At 36.9% G+C, this 23,515-nt stretch overlaps 1 protein-coding gene across 1 annotated transcript in view; it reads right to left on the reverse strand.

Annotated features, from left to right (window-relative positions):
• The window catches only part of CNGB3 (cyclic nucleotide gated channel subunit beta 3), a 169,456-nt gene extending 146,109 nt beyond the window's left edge, over positions 1-23,347 (reverse strand). The window contains exons 1-3 of the mRNA NM_019098.5: positions 23,212-23,347; positions 19,368-19,449; positions 6,244-6,370 (exon numbers count right to left, since the gene is read on the reverse strand). Coding sequence (NP_061971.3) covers positions 6,244-6,370; positions 19,368-19,449; positions 23,212-23,340 — 338 coding nt within the window. The 5' untranslated portion in view covers positions 23,341-23,347. The remainder of the gene's footprint in view (positions 1-6,243; positions 6,371-19,367; positions 19,450-23,211) is intronic.

Genomic DNA, 23,515 nt, shown 5'->3' on the forward strand with positions numbered 1-23,515 from the left:
AACACATCAGCAAGAAAAAAAACAAGCAATCCAATTAAAAAGTGGGCTAAGGACATGAATAGACAATTCTCAAAAGAAGATATACAAATGGCCAACAAGCATATGGAAAAATTCTCAACATCACTAATTATCAGGGAAATGCAAATCAAAACCACAATGCAATACCACCTCACTCCTGCAATAATGGCCATAATCAAAAAATGAAAAAATAATAGATGTTGGCATGGGTGTGGTTAAAAAGGAACACTTACACTGTTGGTGGGAATGTAAACTAGTACAATCACTATGGAAAACAGTTTGGAGATTCCTTAAAGAAGTAAAAGTAGATCTACCATTTGATCCAGCAATCCCACTACTAGGTATCTACCCGGAGGAAAAGAAGTCATTATAGCAAAAAGGTACTTGCGCATGCATGTTTATAGCAGCACAATTTGCTGTTGCAAAAATATGGAACCAACCCAAATGCTTGTCAATCAATGAGTAAATAAAGTGTGATATATATCACAACTTATATATATTCCATGGCATATATATATATATATATATATGTATACACACACACACACACACACACACACACACACACACACACACACAATGGAATACTACTCAGCCATGAAAAGGAACAAAATAATGGCATTTTCAGCAGCTTGGATGGAATTGGAGAGTGTAATAATAATAATTATTATTATTTTTTGAGACAGAGTCTTGCTCTGTTGTCCAGGCTGAAGTGCAGTGGCATGATCTTGGCTCACTGCAACCTCTGTCTCCTGGGTTCAAGTGATTCTCATGCCTCAGCCTCCTGAGTAGCTGGGATTAGAGGTGCACGCCACCAGCCCAGCTAATTTTTGTATTTTTAGTAGAGATGGGGTTTCACCATGTTGGCCAGGTTGGTCTCACATTGCTGACCTCAAGTGATCCACCCACCTTGGCCTCCCAAAGGTCAGTCTCCACTGGGATTACAGGCATGAGCCACCGCACCTGGCCAGAATTGGAGACTCTTATTCTAAGTGAAGTAACTCAGGAATGAAAAACCAAACATTGTACATTCTCACTTATAAGTAGGAGCTAAGTATTCTTATGCAGAAGCATAAGAATGATACAATGGACTCTGGGGACTATGGGGAAAGAGTGGGAAGGGGGTGAAGGATAAAAGTTTACACATTGGGTACAGTGTTCTCTGCTCAGGATGATCTCAGAAATCATCAGTAAAGGACTTACTCATGTAACCAAACACCACCTGTTCCCCAAAAACCTATTGAAATAAAAAATAAATAAAAACAGATTTGATGATCTGTTGTTTAAATTGTTTGCAATGTTTAATTATAAAAGTATTGCTTACCATAGAGGAAAATTTCAATATGGGGCTAAAAGTAATAGTGCATTATTTTTATTATGCATCCCACAAAATTGGCAAGTGTGTAGCTGGTTTCCCTTTTTTAAAAAAAATGCTTATAAATTATTGAAGTATAAATTGCATTTTATTTTTGTAAACTTGATAGCTGACATTCCTTTTCTATTTCAACTATGAAGTCACATATGGATTTTTAAGCATCTTTACTGCAGTGATTCTTGCTTTTTCTAGCTACTAGACAATAAACGTCAGTGTTTATGAGTGGTGATAAGATTCTGAATTCTATTCTGCTCTCATTGTTCCTGCTGTGAAATGATTGCCTATTTTAAAACCACCCAAATAGAGACTGATTGCTATTATGAACAAAGAAGACTATTCATAGAAATAACCTTCCTTCTCAGTATTATGAGTAACAATGGTGATGAAAAGCCATATACTATAGTGTAAAAGTCAGTCTTGCAGCACACCCTAGTCATAGGCACTGAACATTTCACTCACTCGCTGCTTGTTCATCATTTAACCACTTAACCTATCAGCCATTCAACTCTGTCTCCTTTTTCAGACATAGCTATTTGACATTTCCAGGCAAAACACATCTTCTTTTGCTTGCTATTCATTAGTGTCCATCAAAATATATTTTTATATTAAAAAATAAGGCTGGACTGAGATAAAGTGCCAGAAATAAGCTGTTTTTCTTGGTAATGGACAAATGGCATCAGTGGGACTTCACAGGGGTGAACCCTGTGTCTTTCAGAAGGTAAGTGTTTCATTTGACAAGATAATGAATTGTTTGCTTTTGGAGGTGAAGAGTGGGACCTATACAGTTTCAATTCCTTTATGTACATAATGGAGATGGCGTGATGATTAATGTTATGTGTCAACTTGACTGAGCCATAACGTGCCCAGATATTTGGCCAAACATTATTCTGGTTGTGTCTTTGAGGATATTTTGGATGATATTAACATTTGAATCAGTAGACTGAGCAAAGCAGAATGGTTTCCCTAATGTGGGTAAACCTCATTCAGTCAGTTGAAAGCCTACATAGAGCAAAGAAGCTGACTCTCCTGAGAGAAAGAGGGCACTCCTGCCTGATTGTTTAAGCTTGGACATTGGTCTTTTTCTGACTTCAGACTCAAACTGAAACATTGTTTCCTTTTGGGTCTCAAGTTTGCTGGCTTTTTGGACTGGAACTTATAACATTGGCTCTTCTGGTTCTCAGGCTTTCAGACGTGTACTGGAACTATATCATTGGCTTTCCCGGGTCTCTAGCTTACTGACTGCAGATCTTGGGACTCTCAGCCTCCATAATCGCATGAGTCAATTCCTTATAATAAATTTATTTCCCTATATATGCATATATCCTGTTGGTTCTATTTCTGTGGAGAACCCTAACTGATACAGATGGTAATCTCTATGTCTCTATTCCTCTTGGTGTTCACTTCTGCCCATCTTCCAAACAGAGCAGAAACTAAGGGTGTAATCAATAATATCAAACTGTACTTCTTACACACAGACAGCAAAATCCACACTATGCATTCTCCCCAGTACCTATTGATCAGTCCAGACATAATAATCCCTATTCAGCTCAAGGCTTACGTGAGAAGATAAAGTAATTGCACTTACAATAAGAAAACTTCTTTTAAATTTTCCAAATTTAAAAAATTGAGGTGACAGCTGGTCACTCACACAGCATCTATATTTAGTTCCTGCAATCAATCAAATACTTAATTTTTTTCTAGGAGAAAGAGCTTTTTAAAACCTGACCTTGCCCAAGGTTGAAGATGCTGATATTTAACAACTGAAAATATAAAGGTGACCTTTTACTCATCAAAAGCATTGTGAAGTAATAATTTCAATAATTATTTTATCATTGATATTTTCTTATAATGTATAAAAACTCTGTCCCTAGGATTCTAGATATGGTAACTGTTGTCACCCATGAGATTGGAACAGAAAGCTTTGGTCAGTTCTACATGGTATTGAACTTAAAGATTCCCGTTAATTTTAGTCAAAGCTGATACTGGAGCTTCTAATGCCCCTTTCAAGTTGTTCCTTCAGTGCAGCTGGTTTTCACCCAATCCTGAGAAAACATGTGAACAACCATCTAATAACAAAGCAAGAACTTTAAGCTAACTTGGGTCTACTTAGTTTGTTAATACTTCTCAAACCACTTTGCTATCTATGTTGTAGCCAGGAAGACATTAAAAAGTGTTCTGACAAAATCATGTCCTTTGCAGCAACACAGATGGAGCTTGAGGCCATTATCCTAAGTGAACTAACACAGGTACAGAAAACCAGACACCACATGTTCTCACTTACAATGGTAGCTAAACATTGAGCACACAAGGACACGTTGAAGAAAACAATAGACATCAGAGCCTACTTGAGGATGACCGGAGGGAGGAGGCTGAGGGTCAAAAAACTACCTATTGTGTACTGTGCTTATTACCTGGCTGATGAAATAATATGTACATCAAACCCTTGCAACATGAAATTTATCTATAGAATCAACCTGCATATGTACCCATGAAACTAAAATAACACTTAAAAAAAGTCTTCTGGATTTAACAGTTTTGCCATCTCAGGATAGTGATACTGATGAAAAGCCATGTTAGAAGAGAAGTAAGGATTTGAGAGCTTTACAGCCTCATGTTTTTTCCTCATTATCTTTGCAATATGCTACTGATTATTCTTGCTTTTATCAAGAATTCTGAGCAGGAAGGAATGGGAAGACTTGGAGAGTCACTTGTGTCTTGCTCTCCTCCTGGAGAAGCTGTATAGTTTTGAAAATCTAGCAGTTCAAGCAAATCCAATATGTTTGGATCAATCAATTCATTTGTTAAATATTTATTGAATATTTACCATGTGCCAGACATTGATGTAGGTACTGGGGATACTAATCATCAACAAAAACAGGCATGGCCCCTGCCATCATGAAGCACACAATTTAGAGATTGAGACTGATGGATTTTTCAGGCAGATAATCATATAAAATGCATCAGCAATAAATGCTGTGAAAGAGATCTTATAATAGGGGCACATAGCCTAGTTAGGAATGTCAGGGAAAGCCTTACAAAGGAAGTATTGGTCATATTGTTATCTGAAGAATGAATAGAAGTTAATTAGGTGATAAGGGGAGGAAAGAATAGAACAAGCAGAGGAAGTAGTATGTGCAAAAGCCTGCGGCAGGAGGGAACATGACAAATACAAGAGACTGAAATAGAACAGGTGTGACTGGAGCAGAGAGGTGGGAAAGTTGTGTGTTGGGAGAGGACAAAGTAAAAACAGGTGAGAGACAGACCAGGCAGGGCCTGAGAGGTCATGTCAAGAAGTTTTTTGTTTTTGAGCTATGCTGATTGACCCCTGGGTAATTGAAAGGTTTCCACTTCCACATTTCAGAAGAGTGTAAGAAATACTAGGAATGAATACGGATTAAAAAGAATTTATCCCCCAAAATGTTAGTTATGGCTTCAACTTCAGTCCTTTGAAAATCTATCAATTGCCGTGGGTTATTGTAAAAAATAAACATATTAAAATTAATGCTAGAAAGGGAGATTAGTTTAGAAGGCTGGGAGTGTATTGGTGTGAGGAAGTAAAAGTTCTCTTTGGGAATTCAAATCTTTTGTAGTCTAATATTAGGAGAGCTGACCCTATTACTACAGGCAAATGAATTAACCTTTCAGTATCTTGGTTGCTTATCTGTTGAGTGAAGATAATGATGATCCACTAATAGGACTGAAAATAATTCTGTAAACAACAACAGTTATAGATAAAATATAAATAATTAGTTGTTCTCTTGTTAGATTACAGTCCTTACCTCAGAGTTTAAACATCTCTCTGCCAAAATAATATGTCAACTTTTATTTTTGTCAAATAACATTGTGTTTATGTGCACACGTGTGTATGTGTGTGCGTGTATGTGGTAGAGTGAGCTTGTGTTTATTTTCATATAGTCAAATTTGTGTTTATCGAAAAGGCATTCTCTGTTTCTGATGCCAATTGTTCATTCAGCAATTCCCTGGGTCCTAGATAATCACGATGACTTCTACTAACAGCAGATGGTTTAACACAGTAGAGGTGCTGCTGAGAGAGAAGGCGGGGTAGGGTGGAGTGGGATGGACGAATAGGTACTTTTAACTTCTTTATAAGTGACAACTCTTTTTGTCTATTAAATAAGAATATGCTTTTATTGTTTCATAAACATATTGCAATTATATCAATTATAGTTAAGCCATTTTAACTGGATCGGCAGGTACATAATACCATGCCAAGAAGAGGCAAAATGAAGGACCTCCTTGTTGGGATTTATTGCAGATTTACTGGTTCACATTTAAATTGTTATCTCTTTTGCAGTATTTCCAATACTCTTACGGGAAGTACTTATAAAGCTGTGTTCCTTCAGTGGCATAAAGATGTTCCAGTTCTGTAATTATTCCTGGTTAGCATGTCACACTTTCTTTAGTGGATAAAAGGAAATAATAATTAATCTTTTGAAACAATAAAATATTCACAGAATTGGAATAGCTGTTTATTTGTGAGCTTGGAAAATTTTCATCATTTCTTTTTAAAATTCATGCCTAGTAAATATATAGGCTGTTTCCATAATGATACAATGACTCATACATGTAACAGCAATATTTTTGTTGTGATTTGGCCTATAGCCAAATGGCTGCCTAGGGATATTGGTTAGTGGCCATGCTGGGCCAGTGAGGTACGATGAACTGGACAGAACCAACCTTTTAGTTCTGACACAGTTTTTTTGTGTTATGTGACTATTGAATTTTTTCTGCCCTTATATTCAGCTAAAGGGGAGAGTGGATATTTGAGCTCTTTAGGGCAGGCTGAGCAATATCTCTAAAATATGTTGTGTGTTTTATTAAATGCTCACCTGTTTGGACCTTCTTTCCCGGGGTCCATTTCCTTCTGCTCTGGCACTGTTCCAGTTGGTTCTGCTGCATTTTGAGGGTCAGGGTTTGTGGTCAGATCTCCAGAGGAATTTTTCTTGGAGAGTTTGTCTATGAAAAAAAAATTCACATAGATAGAAGAATGTACAACACTCTTGACCCAGCTATATTTGGCAACATGAGCTACAAAGATGCTGCTTGTTTTTTAGAATAGTCTTCTCAAGAACACCTCCCCTGGGACTTCTGCTAAACAAAGTAGGACTTTATGCAGGAAGAATTAACTGGTAGACACCTTCAGGCCAATGAAAAAATACAGTCGTGTGCTATTTAATGACAGAGATATATTCTGAAAAATGCATTGTTAGGTGACTTAGTCGTTGTGCAAACATCATAGAGTGTACTTATATCATACAAATCCTGATGTTATAGCCTACCACACACCAAGGCTATACGGTATACTCTATGGATCCTAGGCTACAAACCTGTGCAGCATGTTACTGTAATAAATACTGTAAGCCATTCTAACACAATGGTCAGTCTGTGTATGTAAACATAGAAAAGATACAGTTTGAAATATGTTATTATAATCTTATGAGACTACCCTCTTTTATGCAGTCTTTTATTGACTAAAATATCTTTATGCAGCACATGATTGTAATTGAAGTTGGTGTATTATGTAATAAAAGTTCATAAGATATATTTCTTTTTGATATTGACAAAGCTGAGAATAAGAATTTATTATTCAGAAGGCATTTCCAGTTTTGCTAAAGTATTCATAATTTTGGGCTGAAATTGATACATCATAAAATTCAGAAAAGTAAAATAGGAAAAAATGTGATTGACATTATTTAGCACTTGCATTCTACATTTTTATGAAATCAAATTTTTGTTTTTAGCTTGACCATCTTTAAGTTGTGAAATATTTTCTGACGAAATGATACAAACTAATATGTACTAGCTTTATTTTCAATACAGAAATTAATTTCTTCCCGTCAAGCCTACAGATACAATTTCTAATTAATATAGTTTAAATTGTAATTTACCCAGAGAATAAACAACTTACTGGTAAATATTTGGATTATAGAGAAGATTTTAATGAAAGCAAATTACTTAATATTAAAAGAAAATGTAGAAGCGGAAAAGAAAAATAAGAACGAATACAATTTAATAGTTATTCATTTTCCACAGCTTCTAACATTTTTAATTGGATGTCTTGTGCTTAAGATATTAAAATGGAGGCCCAAATCATCATTTTATTTTCTTGTAATACATATAGTTTGAAGATATAAGCAAACCCAGTATTGAAAATTTGGATTTACAAAAGTGATAAATCAGGGGATGATCACCATACCAGTCCTTTAATATGAACATTTCTAAGATCCATCTAAAAATCTTTCAAGGTACTAAACTTTTCAGGAACAAGTTTCAGGAATAAAGGAAATCAAAAAATTGAGTCACTCCTTAAAATTTTTAAAAGTTTAAGACTAAGAAAGCCTAAATTCTCGGATTTCCCAAGACGCTTTTATTCATTACGCATCTCCTATCTACTTTTATTTTGGAATTATAGTATTTTGGCTAGAAGAGAGAAAACACAGTACTAGCTATGTTTTTGTTATGTTTAAATGGAAAGAAAAAACAATTCTCCAATTTCCTTGGGATACAAAGGTCTCAATATAATCACATCCTTGAAGCCTGCGTATAAAGATTATGTTTAGGTGAAATATTGAAAGTTGTAGGATAGGGACCCTTCTGTACAGGCACATGTGGTACACTAATGAGTTTATCAGTATCCAACAGATTTCAGAGTAAAAAAAATTGCACTTTCAATATGTCATTTTGTACTAACAAGCTTTTGATAAAAAAAGAGAGAAGGATCTGTTTTCCTTATGTGTTTGGGTCAAGTCATATTTTTCCATTTCTCTTTACCCAATCAAAACAAAAATCATATAGATCAGATCTCTGACAAATTTCCATTTTGTATTGCTGTCTGTGAAAGTGGCAGCCTAATCCTTTTTTGTATCCACAAACACTTGGACAATTACTGTATGATATTTAGAAGCAAAATTCTTAATTGCTGGCCATGGATGTCTAGTGCATTTTTCATTTGAAATCCTTGAAGCCGTATGTTGTATATACCTTTTATTACATGGAGGGGATCTGGAGTTATCATGGGCTTCTCAAAGGAGTCCGGACCAAGAAACATGTTATGGATCATTGTGTTCACATATGTTTCTAGGAGTACTTACCCTAAAAGAAAATTAGGACTGATAAAGAATATGAAATATGAGTAAAAATCAGAAAAAAATCCTGAATGTAAAACAAATAGAATCTGTACTGTAAAACATTTCTTAAAGGCTTTTATTGGCTATGGGTTTTTGTTTTGAGACATGGTCTCACTCTGTCACCCAGGCTGGAGTGCGGTGGTACGATCACAGCTCATTGCAGCCTTGACCTCCTGGGCTCAAGTGATTCTCCCACCTCAGCCTCACGGATCGCTGGAACTACAGGCATGAGCCACCACACCCAGTTAATTTTTGTATTTTTTGTCGAGATGGGGTTTTGCCATGTTGTGCAGGCTGGTTTCAAACTCCTGGGCTCAAGCAATGCGCCTGTCAAAGTGCTGGGATTATTGGTGTGAGCCACTGTGCCTGGTGGGCTATTTCTTATAAAGCCACATGGATATAAGCTGCATCATATACCTCCTCCATCTCTCATTCAAGCTACAGCATATGTATTGCATTTTCAGTATTAACTTTTCTGCTAGTACCAATTAAATGACCAACTGTTCTGCAATAGTTCTTTTTGTCCATTCCTAATAAGAATTTTTGTTTATCACCATAACATTTGGATAAAATTAATTCTAGGTAGATCTTAGCAACTTACCAGATCTTCTCTAGCTATTACCAAGCCTTTCTAAATTGATCCTGCCTCTATTTTGACAAGCCTGGGATATTTATAAATTAATTTCAGCCTAATTTGATTTGTGGATAAACATTTAATTACAAAATAAATCCTCATTAATAGCTTATTGATGAAGATTAGAAACCAGTTATTTCCTATTCTTGGCTTCAAAGCAGAACAACAACTTAAAAAACCCATGAGGACTCAAAACAAAAGAATGCCTGTCAACTATAGTTCAGTGTGGGTGTCTTTTTATCCATGCAACATGTTATTTGTTTGTGGAAACAGATGGTCAGAGTGTTTGCATCATCCTCATCATGAAAGAGAAATCTAAAATACAAGGCAAATCTTGCTCTGGCATCTGGGTGAAATGTTGTCAACGGCACATTGTGATTCTTCCCAGCTTCACACATGGACAGCAGGATTCCAGATTTCATAGCTGCCCAAATGAATAGTGTAAGTCTTTCTGCCAATGGTGCTCTTTGCACATTGTATAGCAATTGCCAGAGCTCATCAGTACACTTGGTCAAATTCTTCCCTGGAATGTGTACCTGTGGCAGATAGTGAAATCTGGAATCAAAGTATTCTGACGTGGTTGCCTTTACTGAATGTGCAAAAAATAAGTAGAGTTTGCTCTCCACACACCAGGCTGATTCCATCCTGAGCCTGGCAGCGTCTCACACTGAGCCTGTGTAATATACTTCCAATCTCCTTGGCCCCTTGTAGCAGCACAACATGGAGACACGAGCAGGTGTGAAACATCTGCTTCTCTCTTCAGGTGATGAAATAAGTGATGTGGAAATCCATTAACCTTCCACATTTTATCAGTGACATTACATAAATGCTGGACAGGAGGGATTCAAAGAAAGAACCTAATATGGGAATAAGGTTGTAAATTAAAAAGACACTCAGTTGGCTTGTTTTAGATGGATATGAAAAGCACAAGACTTGACAATGCCTTCACTGGTTAGAATCTTTGGTGTGGGGGATGGTACTACTTTGGTCAAATTTCTAGGTCTTAGGACATCAAAGACATGTGGGTTCTGTCTCAAAAATAAATCTCCTTTTATTAGGAGCCACCAGTACCTGAGTAACTGGATGTTAGATGCATTAATAAAGACTAAGTCTGGGTACTTCAATTAGATGCATAAACAATACTATTATTTTCCATCTAAATGAACATTTGGAGTTAAGGACTAACAGTTTTAAGAAGTATATGATTAATGATTATTTTCTGGCACCTGAGGTTGTATTTTTGACTCAGCTTGTGGCTAATTTCAGAGTTGCTGGATTATCTAGTGTACTTAGAATAATTTTAACTATAATACTTTAATCACACTTGAAATTTTATTGTATCTTTGTAGATTGTCAAACAACATGGAGGAAGTTGACAACATTACAGCAGTGCACATAAAATGGATTCTGAAAGAGGGTTTTAAAATGGCATTCAGAAGAACAGAAAAATGACATACTTTATATTAAAAACATGTGATCTGTAAGAAATCCAGAGAAGGACTCAGAAGGGATGAGAGTTCTGGAAACCATCTCATATGAGAAATGGTGTGAGGAATTTAGGCTCTTTTAGTAAAGTATTTAAGATTAACTAGTGACCTAATAGTTATTTCAAATTCATAGAAATGCTATTACATAGAAAAGAAAATAGATTTATTTCATGTAGTCTAGAAGGCAGAAGAAAGACTTACCAATGAATTAACAAAACAAACACGCAAAACCCTCAAACATTCTAGCAACTTGTCTAACCACAAAATGCACTGCTTTGTGAGGTAGTGAAGGCTCTGTTGGCTGGTGGTACTCAGGAGCCTCCAGCCAATCTAAGAAGCCTGTGCTAAGGGAGCCTGTGCTGAGGGAGGACAGGATCTTTGCATGGGGTCAAAACTAAGGTGTCCTCTAGACAGCCTTAAAGTCCTATAATGTCCTGAAGGGATCTTTGTATTTAGGAAGATTTTTGACTTTAGGATACATCATCACAAGTAAAGAAATGTGCAAATCGCCAAAAGAAAAAGAACGTGGATCCATCTAAGTTAGTTTTGTTACTGTGTCAGGATGGAGGAATCCAGTCCTCTCTCAATGTCATGCTAGGTTTCAGGGACTTTTTTAAAACTGAGATTAATTCATCTAGAAAACACATTTTATATATAGGTATTAAGGAGTGTGATGAGTTACCAGTGCTGGGTACTGAACAGAGACCTGTAATCCCTACATAACTAATTCTCTAGGTGACTCTGGATAAGTCTCTTTTCTGTAACAGTTTCCTCATCCATAAAATGAAAAATACTTTTGTCCTGGGGATTTCTGTGAGGATTAGATAAAGACTCCATTTGAGAAAAATGCAATATAAACACAAAGTGTTCCATGAGCCAGACTGGAATAAATTGCTTAAAAAAAGAAAATGTATATTAACTCTTTCAGGTCTTCATAGCACTGACGTATGTGGGGCATGATACAAAAACTTCCATTTACTTAACAGAGCCCAGGAACCAGAAAATCGTAATGCAATTTTCCATAAGTCAGCTATATTCTTTGGCAGAAAGAAGCCTAAAAGCACAGAGTTTAATTGAATTATGTAAATATATTTAAATCATGCAAACTACAACATAAAAGGCCTTTTAAAGGAAAAGAATCCATCCTATCCACATTGGTTAGGGTCTCTTAAATTTTTAGCTTATGAAACACGTAATGACAGTAATTTTATCGGTCAGAATCTGTTCTCTATTCAATATTTAAAACAGGGTATGCTTTCCATGCCAAACTTCGCTCTTTTAAGCGAGGGAGCTTTCTGCTGTATTACATGCAGGAATGGTTACCCATCACACACATGCTGGGCACCTAATCTCAAGAGGGTGGCCTGTCCACAGCTGGCTGGCAACCTCAATGGTGGTCTGAAGGGCTCTGCTCAATGGGGAAAACGGTTGTTATCTAAGTCAGTCAGACTACTCCCTTTGGAATTTGGACTGAAAAATGAGTAAATGGAAATGAGAGCAGTCCAGAGTAGATATGCAGAGAAAACACAGCGCTCATGAGAAATGAAGCCATATTCACTGAGGGAAAAGGAGAAAAAGTAATTAGCTCCTAGGCTGTCTCAGTCTGAAAGCCTCCCCTGAATGGCTTTTCAGCTCCAGTTATCCATAAGTTTTCTTACAACGAGCCCCTGCCACTGAAGGTGTCCTGATTATGTCTCTGTCTCTTGCCAAACCAGCACAATTAGGAATTTTCTTCATCATCTCAAACTAGAAAGCATGTAATATTTATCTTTTTTCTAGACTAAATTTTCAGAAATGTCATACCAACTTTATTCATTTCTCAATTCTTTTGTTTATCATCCTATCAGGTATCATTTTAAAAGAATACTTCTGATTGTTGGCTACATAAGACTATTTCTATTTGGATGAAGGAAATAAATATGCTTGAGTCTTTTTTAAAATTTCAGTTTTTATTTTAGATTCAGGGGATGCATGTGTGTGTTTGTTACATGGGTATACTGCATGATGCTGAGGTTTGGGATGTGAATGATCCTGTCACACAGTGAGCAGAGTACCCAACATTTAACTTTTCTTTTTTTTTGTTATTATTTTATTTTTTATATCTCCTCTAAGGTGAAATAGTTAGTTTTTCAACTCTTCCCCCCACCTTCCTCCCTCTAGTAGCCTGCAGAATCTATTGTTCCCATCTTTATGTCCATGAGTACCCAGTGTTTAGCTTACACTTATAAGTGAGAACATGTGGTATTTGGCTTTCTATTTTTGGGTCAATTTGTTTAAGATAATGGCCTCCATCTTCATCCATGTTGCTGCAAAGGACATGATTTCATTCTTTTTTATGGGTGTGTGGTATTCCATGGCATATATGTGCCACCTTTTCTTTATCCAATCCACTGTTGATGGGCACTCAGGTTGATTTCATGTCTTTGCTATTGTGAATATCACAGTGATGAACATACAAGAATGCATGTGTCTTTTGGGTAGAACAATTTATTTTCTTTTGGATATATACCCAGTAATGGGATTGCTGGTGCAGAATGGTAGTTCTGTTTTAAGTTCTTTGAGAAATCTGCTTGAGTAGTTTTGATAAAAAGTTATATACATTTTGTAGGAGGGTCTCTCTTCCCACCTTATCCTTTGGCTGGTGAATAGGACTGAAAGTTACAGGGAGTGGACTACAGAACTAAAATTAGCCATAGTAGTACTTCCTATGCATGTCAATCAAACTGGTTGGTCGTACACGGTAAAGTCTTTACTGCTTTTTGTAAACTAAATTTCAGTAGATTGCCTAGTTATTTTTCTTTTCCACATAGGACACATTAAATTGTATATGCTAATTGTTACTGCCAAGGACTGAAGAGTGGTTTCCTATTTAAACATCCACTACCTTTTCTGAAAAACTGGACTTTATTTTATATTTTAATTTATTTATGGTTTAAGAGACAGGGTTTCTTTCAGTCATGCAGGCTGGAGTGCAGTGGCATGACCATAGCTCACTGTAACCACAAACTCCTGGGCTCAAGTAATCTTCCCACCTCATTCTCCTGAGTAGCTGGAACTACAGGCGGGTGCTACTATGCTCAGCTAATTAAAAAAATTTGGGGGGATAGAGGTCAGGTCTCGCTATGTTGCCCAGGCTGGTCTCAGGAAATCCTCCTGTCTTGGGCTCCCAAAGCACTGGGATTACAGGCATGAACCACCGTGCCTGGCCAGCTTTATTATTATTTTTAGAGTAGTTTTAGCTCCAGAGCAGTTTTTAGCTTTAGATTACGCCCAAAGTGAGAGTTGGCTGAAATGCAGGCTATGTCAGTTTGGAGAGATGATAGGGACCTGGGCAAGGCTGGGGGCACCTCTGTAGATCTGGAATTGTGCTAGACTTGGAACCTAGGGGTCTTGGCTGTGGAAAGCTATTTGGCAAGCAGTTCCAGGGAGGCCACCCTACTTGTAGTCTGTTTACAAAACAAAGACTGGGATGGAGATTATGAGTAAAGAGGAATGGAAAAGTAACAGGATCACTAAACGCATTGCCAGATTCAGAATTTTGTCTAGGGATTTCACTGTTTACAAATGCAGACAACATTACATGTCTACCACGTGGTTGGTTAGAGGTCACAGAATGGTCTTGTGGACTAAATTTGGTAAGAATTCAGTTATGTGTTCCCAGTGATTTAAGAAAGGGAATATTTAAACATTAAAAAAGTCAACATTTAAAAATTGAGATCTTTCAAATTAACATTTGTGTTTGTAGTTTGTCTTGACAAGGTGTAACACCTGGCAGAACTTGACCTTCATCCCCATGTGACAGTGACTAGCAGAGCTGAGTAGCCTCTGACCTCTTCAGACAGGGCATGAATGCTCCTCATTTATGCTATCTGGCTTGTATCAGGGTTGGGATTTACCAACCTCAATGCTAAATGCTTTACATATATTAACTAATTTAATTCTCACTCACAACCCAACACTGATAACAGTGTTGTCCTTATTTTATACATGAGCAAAATGACACTCAAAGATGTTAAATGCCTCAACTAAAGAGTTAGAAAGTAGCAGAGTTGTGATTTGAATTCGGGCATGTCAAATTCTCAAATGCCGGTGGTTTTTTTTTTTTTTTTTTTTTTTTTTTTGTATGGTATACTGCCTTTACTATGAATTCAACGTGATTGTAGGAAAACTCAATTTCATTTTTAAAATGGTTGCCTTTTTTTTTTTTTTTTGAGACAGAGTCTTGCTGTGTTGCCCAGGCTGGAGTGCAGTGGCGCAATCTCGGCTCCCTGCAAGCTCCGCTTCCAGGGTTCACGCCATTCTCCTGCCTCAGCCTCCCGAGTAGCTGGGACTACAGGCATCCACCACCATGCCTGGCTAATTTTTTGTATTTTTAGTAGAGACGGGGTTTCACCGTGTTAGCCAGGAGAAAAATGGTTGTATTTTGTATTTCAAGTTGGAATTCTCTTAAAGCTGTATGTATTATAGTTTTCCATTGCTGCTGTAATCTATCACCATAAACTTAATGGCTTAAAGCAACACAGTCAGTTGTCTTACAGTTCTGAAAGTCAGAAGTCTAAAACGTGTCTGACGGGCTGTGTTCCTCCTGGAAGCTCCAGGAGAGAATCCTTTCTTTCTTTTCCAGCTTCTAGAGGTCACAGCACTCCTTGGGTCCTGGTCCCTTCCTCCACCTCCAGAGAGCATCAATCCAACTCTGCTTTCATTGTCCCAGCTCTTGCCTTTGACTCTCCTGCTTCAACTCTTATAAGGACCCCTTGATTACATTGGGGTTACCTGAATAATCTGGGATAATCTTCCTATTGCAAGATCCTTAGTAACATTAGCAATTTTCTTCAATGTAAGCTAACAAATTAATAGATTTTAGAGATTATGGTGTGGACAGCTTTGGATAGCCATTAATTGGCTTACCACACCATACTAGCAATGGGAATTCAACTTTGACCCATTTCTACACAAATAGGGTCACTTAAAAGTATCGTAAACCACTAGGTAAATTACTTACATATCCTCTACTGGTACCAAGACATTTATTTAAAGAAGCATTTAACATAATATAAATGAAATAGATGCCTAAGGAAGATGATTATAATCAAAAGAGGACCTTAGCAAGTTATCTTTATTTGAATCCAAAATATGTTGCATTCTTCATTTCCATGGCAGATATAAATGAAACCATGTTCTGCAGAAGATAAGAGTTCTATAATCAGAAATCAACATCTGCAGATTTTATGACATTGCACCTGCATGTTTTGAAGTGAACACAAAAATACCAAGCACATATCAGAGGCTATCTTTAAACACTAATAATTTTGCTTTTTCAAGACAAAATATCTTAAATATAACTGTTATTCCTATTAAAGTCTTTGGAGACATGCCAAGTCTGCAGATTTAAATGAAACTACTTTTTCCTTCTACTCAAATAGCTCCTCTGTTAAATGAAACTTCCACAAAAGAGTTTTTATTACCAGCTATGAAAAATTTAAGCTTACAAATACACTTTGAAAAAAGTATGACAAAGATAAGAATAAACTTGTCTTTTCAAAGGTGTAATCCTTGGTTTTATGCTAATTAAGGTTGTATTTTTCTGTGCAAAGAACTGTAGATTTAAATCATTACTATTACAAAGTAACTCAGAAAAAAAGAATTGTAGTTTGAATTATCAGAATGTTTCTCTCTTCCTCGGTACTTCCATTTGTTAATCACATTTTGGTGTATGCATTCAAGATTGTTGTATAGTCTACAAAAGGGTCTTCTCCTTTTAAACAAATTTGAAGATGGAATAATGGTCTTCAATTACTGATAAAAAAAAAAGGCAAGACCACATTTTTTACAATGTCCTCTTGGTTTATGATTCTTACTATTTATGGAAGTTTTATATATGTGAGTTTGGATCAGATAGAGTTTTAGGATTATTAAGTGTTTTCCTCTTTCAGTGACACGTTATCCTAAATATTTAAAATCACATAATCTAGCGGTTGAACAGTCTAGCTTTAGTCATGAGTTAGGAAGTATTATATTGCATTCACGTTGAAAAATATATTGTAGAACACTTGCTTTTTTTTCCCCCTTTCTCCTCGGATAAGTCAATGCTGATTTTCTATTTGGAAGATACTGTTTTCCATCTTTGTGGCAGAGATAAAAGTACAGATGAAAGATAGTGGCAAAAACACCTGGTCTGTGTAAGAACAAGTATCCTCTACATTCTAATCTGCATAGTGAAAAAACAGAGGTGTTTTTCAAAATAAGTAAATAAAGTCAAGAAAACTAAAGTGAATTTTCTTCCCCTTTTTAAACAAATTTTATTCTTGTAAGTAGGTAGAGAGTAGATTGTAAAAAGTATAAATATAAATTAATTCAGGAAAAAAATCAACATCTTTATAATATTATCCTCCCAAGTGGACACATATTTCCCTCCAGTTATTTAAGTTTATTCTACATATGTCTGTAAAATTCAATTATTTTCTTCATATAGGTTCTTTCCTTTTCTCCTAAATAGAAACAAGTAAGTATGAGAGTGGGGCCATTTGTTCAGAGCGGTCCTTTTTTTAAATTTTTCTTTATTACACAACAGGTTTAATGTAGCATTTCCAAATTAAAGTAAGATGGTACTGGAATTTGGAATTATTTAAAAATTAAAAACGTAAAAAACCTTTTAGGTTCAGGAGTACATGTGCAGGTTTATTATATGGGTAAATTTTGTGTCACGGGGGTTTGGTATACAGATTATTTCATCATCAAGGGAATAAGCATACCTATAGGTAGTTTTTCTAGCCTCACCCTTCTCCCATCCTCCACCCTCAAGTAGATCCTGGTGTCTGTTGTTCCCATCTTTATATGTGTACTTAATGTTTAGCTCCCACAAGTGAGAACATGCGGTATTTGGTTTTCTGTTCCTGAGTTAGTTTGCTTGGGATAGTGGCCTCAGTACTTCGACTGCAGGGATATTCCTTGACAGCAATTTGTGTATTTGAAACATTTCTTGTGATTTGTTTTTAAATTTATAATCTTCTTGTAATTTTTGTGCATTTCTTATTTTTGTTCCTTGAAGATGAGACATTTGGGCTAGTAAAAGCTCAATTGTGCCTCAGTTCAAATATTTGTTTTAGTGCAAATAGGAAGTCATTAACAATTATCATACACGGACTTTGTCTAACAGATGAAAAGCAAAACATTTGTGCTAGTTTTATGGCAATAATTTTATTTTTATTATTTAACAAAGCATATTCTGTTCTAGTGATTTCCCTTTCATTTTTGTATTTATTTGGTTAGGGGGTAGTGTTCCTACTGGGGAGAAGTAGGAGAGAAGGTCTAGAAAGGGGGTCTGGGAATAGATCACATTAAGTTCTACAAAGTCAGGTGGAGGAAATTAGATTTTGTCCTGCAGGCAATATGCAAGCACTTAAGCTTCTTGAGCAAAGGTTGAGATCAAAGTGGTGGTTAATGGAAAATAATCTGCTAACAGTGTTTGGGCTGGGTAACAAGGGGAGAGATGGGTGACATAGAGTTCTAAACAAAAGCAACCACTTGGCCTGGGGGTAGTGCAGACATAAGCTACTAATAAGGGCCCGAGCCAGGATGGTATTGCTGAGATCGGAAAGAAAGGAAGTGGGCCGGGCGCGGTGGCTCACGCCTGTAATCCCAGCACTTTGGGAGGCCAAGGCGGGAGGATCACGAGGTCAGGAGATCGAGACCATCCTGGCTAACACAGTGAAACCCCGTCTCTACTAAAAATACAAAAAATTAGCCAGGCTTGGTGGTGTGCACCTGTAGTCCCAGCTACCTGGGAGCCTGAGAGGCAGGAGAATGGCCTGAACCCGGGAGGTGGAGCTTGCAGTGAGCCGAGATTACGTCACTGCACTCCAGCCTGGGCGACAGAGCGAGACTCCGTCTCAAAAAAAAAAAAAAAAGGGAAGTGGGTTTCAGGGTCCTTATGAAAGGAGATTTGGTGACTAATTTACTTTACAGGACATCCTGGTTAAAGGAATAAAACCTGAGTAAGGTTTTGAGCTTGGGAGGCTGAAAGAATGATAGTACCAGGGGTAGAAGTAAATCAGGAGAGGGAGCGTATTTGTAGGAGAGGATAAGGAATTTAGTTTTAGACATGCTTTCTTTGTAATGCAGTAGAATATACCGTCGTGTACATCTAGTGATGAGTTGAAAAATATTGAGTCTTAAAAAAGAAATTGACCTGATACGGATTTAGAATCATCCCTGTAGAATCGAGTGTGGTAGCCTTAGGAGTAAATGAGCCTTATAATGGAGAGAGTTTAGCAGGAGGGAGCAGAGGTGTGAGTGCTAAACCTTTAAATGTGTTCAATCCACATTCATGTTAATGTCTTCATATTGCTTATCAATGTCTGAAATTGCATCGTTCACAATATGCTTACTTATCTATGATGTGTTTCTTTAGACTACAAGCTCTATGTAACCTCAGACTCTGCCCATGTTGCTCATTACTGCACCTCCAGCCCATGGAACAGTGCCTGGCACATGTCAGGTGATGAAAATGCATCTATTGCATGGACAAATGAGTTACTGAATGAGGATATAAAGTTTTTGAAATATTCAGATCTTCAAATAACCTCAGTATGACCCTAGATAATTCACCTAGTCAAGGACAAATATTTCATCAGACAGCACATTTCAGATACATATGTATTTCACTTTTTAGTTTTTTTTTTTTTTTTTTCAGACTGCATTCTGACCTTGTATGTTGGTGTGTGGCTCTTCAGACGTGACTGGAGTTGACTTGGTTTTGAGAGATTTCTCTTCACCTTTGTTTTCTTCCTTTGAGAAAAAACATAGAGATTGTATGTGATGAATTTACATAAAAATGAAGTTGAATGTAAAACATAACACCATTTTCCACTTAATTGTCAATCAGATCATTAAAATTGACTGTTTATGATGTACTAAAAATGATTCTTGCATTTAAAATGGGCATTCTTGGCCTACTATTGAATAATCAACCTCAGCCTCCACAGCTGCCCTCTGGTTTTTTCAGTGTGGATTCTGTGTTTCTCTTGTTCACATTCCTTCAATTGTGGTCTTTACTTGCCATAGGCCTAGCATTAGTCTAGGTCTTTAGTGGTAGAACTTAAAATAGTGGAGAGAAGGCAGTTTGGTCCCATTCACACAAAGCTCCCTTTCTTCTCTCCATGATTTCATGTGCTTCTGCCTCATCATTTGTCTGATCATCTAAGCTTTCCTTTGAAATGCCGTTATGTCCCACTAGACATGGCCAGTGTGTGCCTCAGGATGTTCCTACAGGGGCAGAGTGAAACAAGATATGAGGTTAGAACATAAAGATTGACTCCCAAGCTATGCACAGTCTAGAAGGGGAAACAAACACACAAAAATGTTAAGTGCAAGAAAATGTAGGTGACGAATCAATGTCTGTAGAGGATTAGGATGGGGCATAAACAGGAAGTGGTCAATTCTACTGGAGTAGAAGGGAAAGAAAGGAAACTATTCCAAAGAAAGTGACTCTTGACTTTATAAAGATAAGATTTTTGTTTTCCACATGGAGAGGACTTAGAAAATATTCCAGGCAGATGATGCAGGTTTAGCAAAAGCCAAAGGCGTGACTGTACATAGGTGGGGAGAGACTACAGTAGGAGTGGTTGGATGGGACAAAGGGTGAGTAGATGAGGCTTGAGAGTAGGCAGGGACCAGAAGGACACTGAGAGTCTTGTGTGCCTGCTATAGAGTTTTGACATTATTTATAAGCCTTGTGTTTCATAGAAGCATTTTAAACTAAAAAATAAATTAATTGGCTGATTTTCACTTAAGCCTCACAATAACCATATACATTAGGCAAGGCAGCTATTATTATTAATATTATTATATTATTGAATATGAAATTGATTGAGTGGCTAGTTTATATGAACGTAGCTAGAAAGGTATAAGTCCAGGACTATTTATAAACAGTGAAAAAGCCTTCTGACTTCAATCAAGTCCTTTTGCATCGTTATGATGTTATTCATAAATATTTATATCATAGTCTTTATGTGTATACAAATGTAGATTTATGTGAAGAGTGTCTTCTTCTGGGGTAAGAGAGAGTTTGGATTAGACTGATTTGCAGTTCTTAAATTATTGTTTATTGATAGGTGAGAATTACCCATGACATTTTGGTGTGTAAATGAGCTCTTTAAATGACTCTTTAAAAAACACAACATACATTGATATATTTATTCCTAGATATTTGCTTATAAGACTCTAATCATTTATTCATAGTTCAGAGGCTTATTGTTTAAATGCCATTTTGAAAGGTCGAATTCCGTGAAAGAAAACAGGATTTTAACTTTCTGTCATTTTTAACATTTAGCATATTTGAAATTGGAGATAAACTATTTTTTCCCATACCCACATGTTCTTGGAAAGAACAGATGCAAATAATTGCCCAAATATGACTTTTAAGATATAATGTGGCTGAGCACAGTGGCTCATGCGTGTAATCCCAACACTTTGCAAGGACAAGGTGGGCGGAACACCTGAGGCCGAGAGTTTGAGACCAGCCTGGCCAACATGGTGAAACCCCGTCTCTACTAAAAATACAAAAAAATGAGCTGGGTGTGGTGGCATGTGCCTGTAATCCCAGCTACTCGGGAGGCTGAGGCAGGAGAATCGTTTGAACCCAGGACACAGAGGTTGCAGCGAGTCAAGATTGCACCACTGCACTCCAGCCTGGGCGACAGAATGAGACTCTGTCTCAAAAAAAACAAAAAAAAAAAATCTAATGTGATGCCAGTAGACTTCGCGATTAATATCCACAAATTATGGCTGTTGGAATGGCATGGGATATACCTAAGGGGTGCTCTACCTGTGCCTAATCTAAGTACTTCTCCAATATTCCTGTTTTGAAAGGAAAGATAACTCTTTAAGAAGTTTCTCTTCTTTTTTCGCCTTCTCTCTAATTTCCGTTTATCCTGCAGGCAAAGTATCTTAAAGGGTTGACTCAACTAATATCCCTCCTGTTTTGAGCAGTATAGCCTAGTGATTTAGCTCTCAGGTGCTGAATTCAGATAGGACTTGGTTCCAATCCAGGCTCTGCCATTTGCTAGCTATGTGTAAGGAGCAAATTGTAATAGGACCTGTGACTGTTGTGAGGATTAAATACAGTAGCCCTAGAAAAGGGCTTAGCACCTTGCTTGGCAAATAGTAATTGCTGTTAGTTACAATGTTCTCCAAGAGAATAATATATTAGCTATTAACGGTTTTTATGTGCTCCCTTGGAAAATAATCACAGTAGGCAAGGGTTAAAGATGGATGTAGTGACTTTCCCAGAGCAAAACACAGCAAGACTAGCTGAAGGAAAGTACCAGCTCAATATTTGTGACATTGTATGAGTTCTTAAACATATAGATAACTTAGTGTGGGATTATTTATTTTGACATAAGAATTAGAAAGAAGTCAAGGGCACTCTCTCGAAGCAATACTAACACAGTCCTCCTCATCTCCTCTCTACTGCAAAGCAGTCAACATTAATCAGAAAAGGAAGGCAGATTTTCCACGGCCCATGTTAAATAGTCTCAGTGTTGTCTATCCTCTAGGCTCATTTAAACCCGAACCATTGGACTATGCTCCCCTAGTCCCTGAGGAGCACTCCTGCTTGTACTTGTCATCTCTCATCCAGCTGTTTCAGATGGCAAAATAACTACTGCTCTAAAAATCTTCTGTAGCTCTTTTAGATAATTCTAGTGAGTAATTCACGAAAATTATTCTGTGGATAGTTCTAAGTAAATATTGCTCTTGTAATGATCACTTAGGACTTAAACCTGTCACAGAAACACAAATTCTTATTAATAATAATAATAGCCACTTGTAAAGTACCTACCATGTGCTTTATATATTACTGTCTCTAGTTCTCATAACAAAGCAGAAATTATCATATACATTTTGCAGAAAAATATATTTAGAACTTGTGAAAAGGCTTGTTTAAAGTTCCTCCACCTTGGCAGTATTAAAATTTTGTAGTGTATAATTCTACGTTGTGGAGGGCTGTCCTGTACATGATAGGATGTTGAGCAGCATCTGCAGACTTTACCCACTGGATGCCAGTAACATCCCCACCCCGGAGCTATGACAACTGAAAGTGTCCCCAGATTTGCCAAATGTCCCTTGAGTGGTAAAATCGCTCTCAATTGAGAGCCAATAGGTTTCCTATTGCTCTAGAGATTTATTGTTAACATGTGGTTTATGAAGACCAGGATACTTGATGTTCTTTGTTGAAACTCAATCAAGTAACCAATTTAATATTTGAGAAATGGTTTCATTTTGGATGATGGTAGAAGTGAAAATCAGCAATGAGAAGTCTTACTTGGCTTTTCCAAATCCTAGTATAGTCTCCTAAACATTTATTATTCTTTTTATGAACAAATACATACAGAATATATAAATTAATGAAGATAAGCCCGACACAGTACATGTACCAGATGGTGCCAGGTAAAACTACTAAACAATCATATATCGTAGCAGTGATTAAATGCTATTACCAGATAAGAAATGATGAAAATCAAGGCTTGCATAGGAATGTAGAGGACATACCTGTGCTGTGGTTTGCTGAGACTGATTACTTGGGTGAGAGCCTTCTTCATTCCGACGAGAACTTTGTTCATTCTCATTGTTCTCTCCTATAGGCTTCACCTTGTTGACTTTTGTCAGCGATTTAAACATCTTCTCTGAGGTGGTTCTGAAAACCCTCTGTATTTATGACTGTGCCTTAAGGTAGAGAAATGTACTTTGTTTTCCTTTTCTTTAGTAGACAAGCCAATTAGCTGTTTAATCAGGATTTTGTTCTGGTTAATTCCTACAGGCAACTCCTTAGCTAGTCAGGGCTTTGGCTTAAAAG

Source organism: Homo sapiens, chromosome 8 (assembly GCF_000001405.40).
Source record: "Homo sapiens chromosome 8, GRCh38.p14 Primary Assembly".
NCBI lineage: Eukaryota > Metazoa > Chordata > Mammalia > Primates > Hominidae > Homo > Homo sapiens.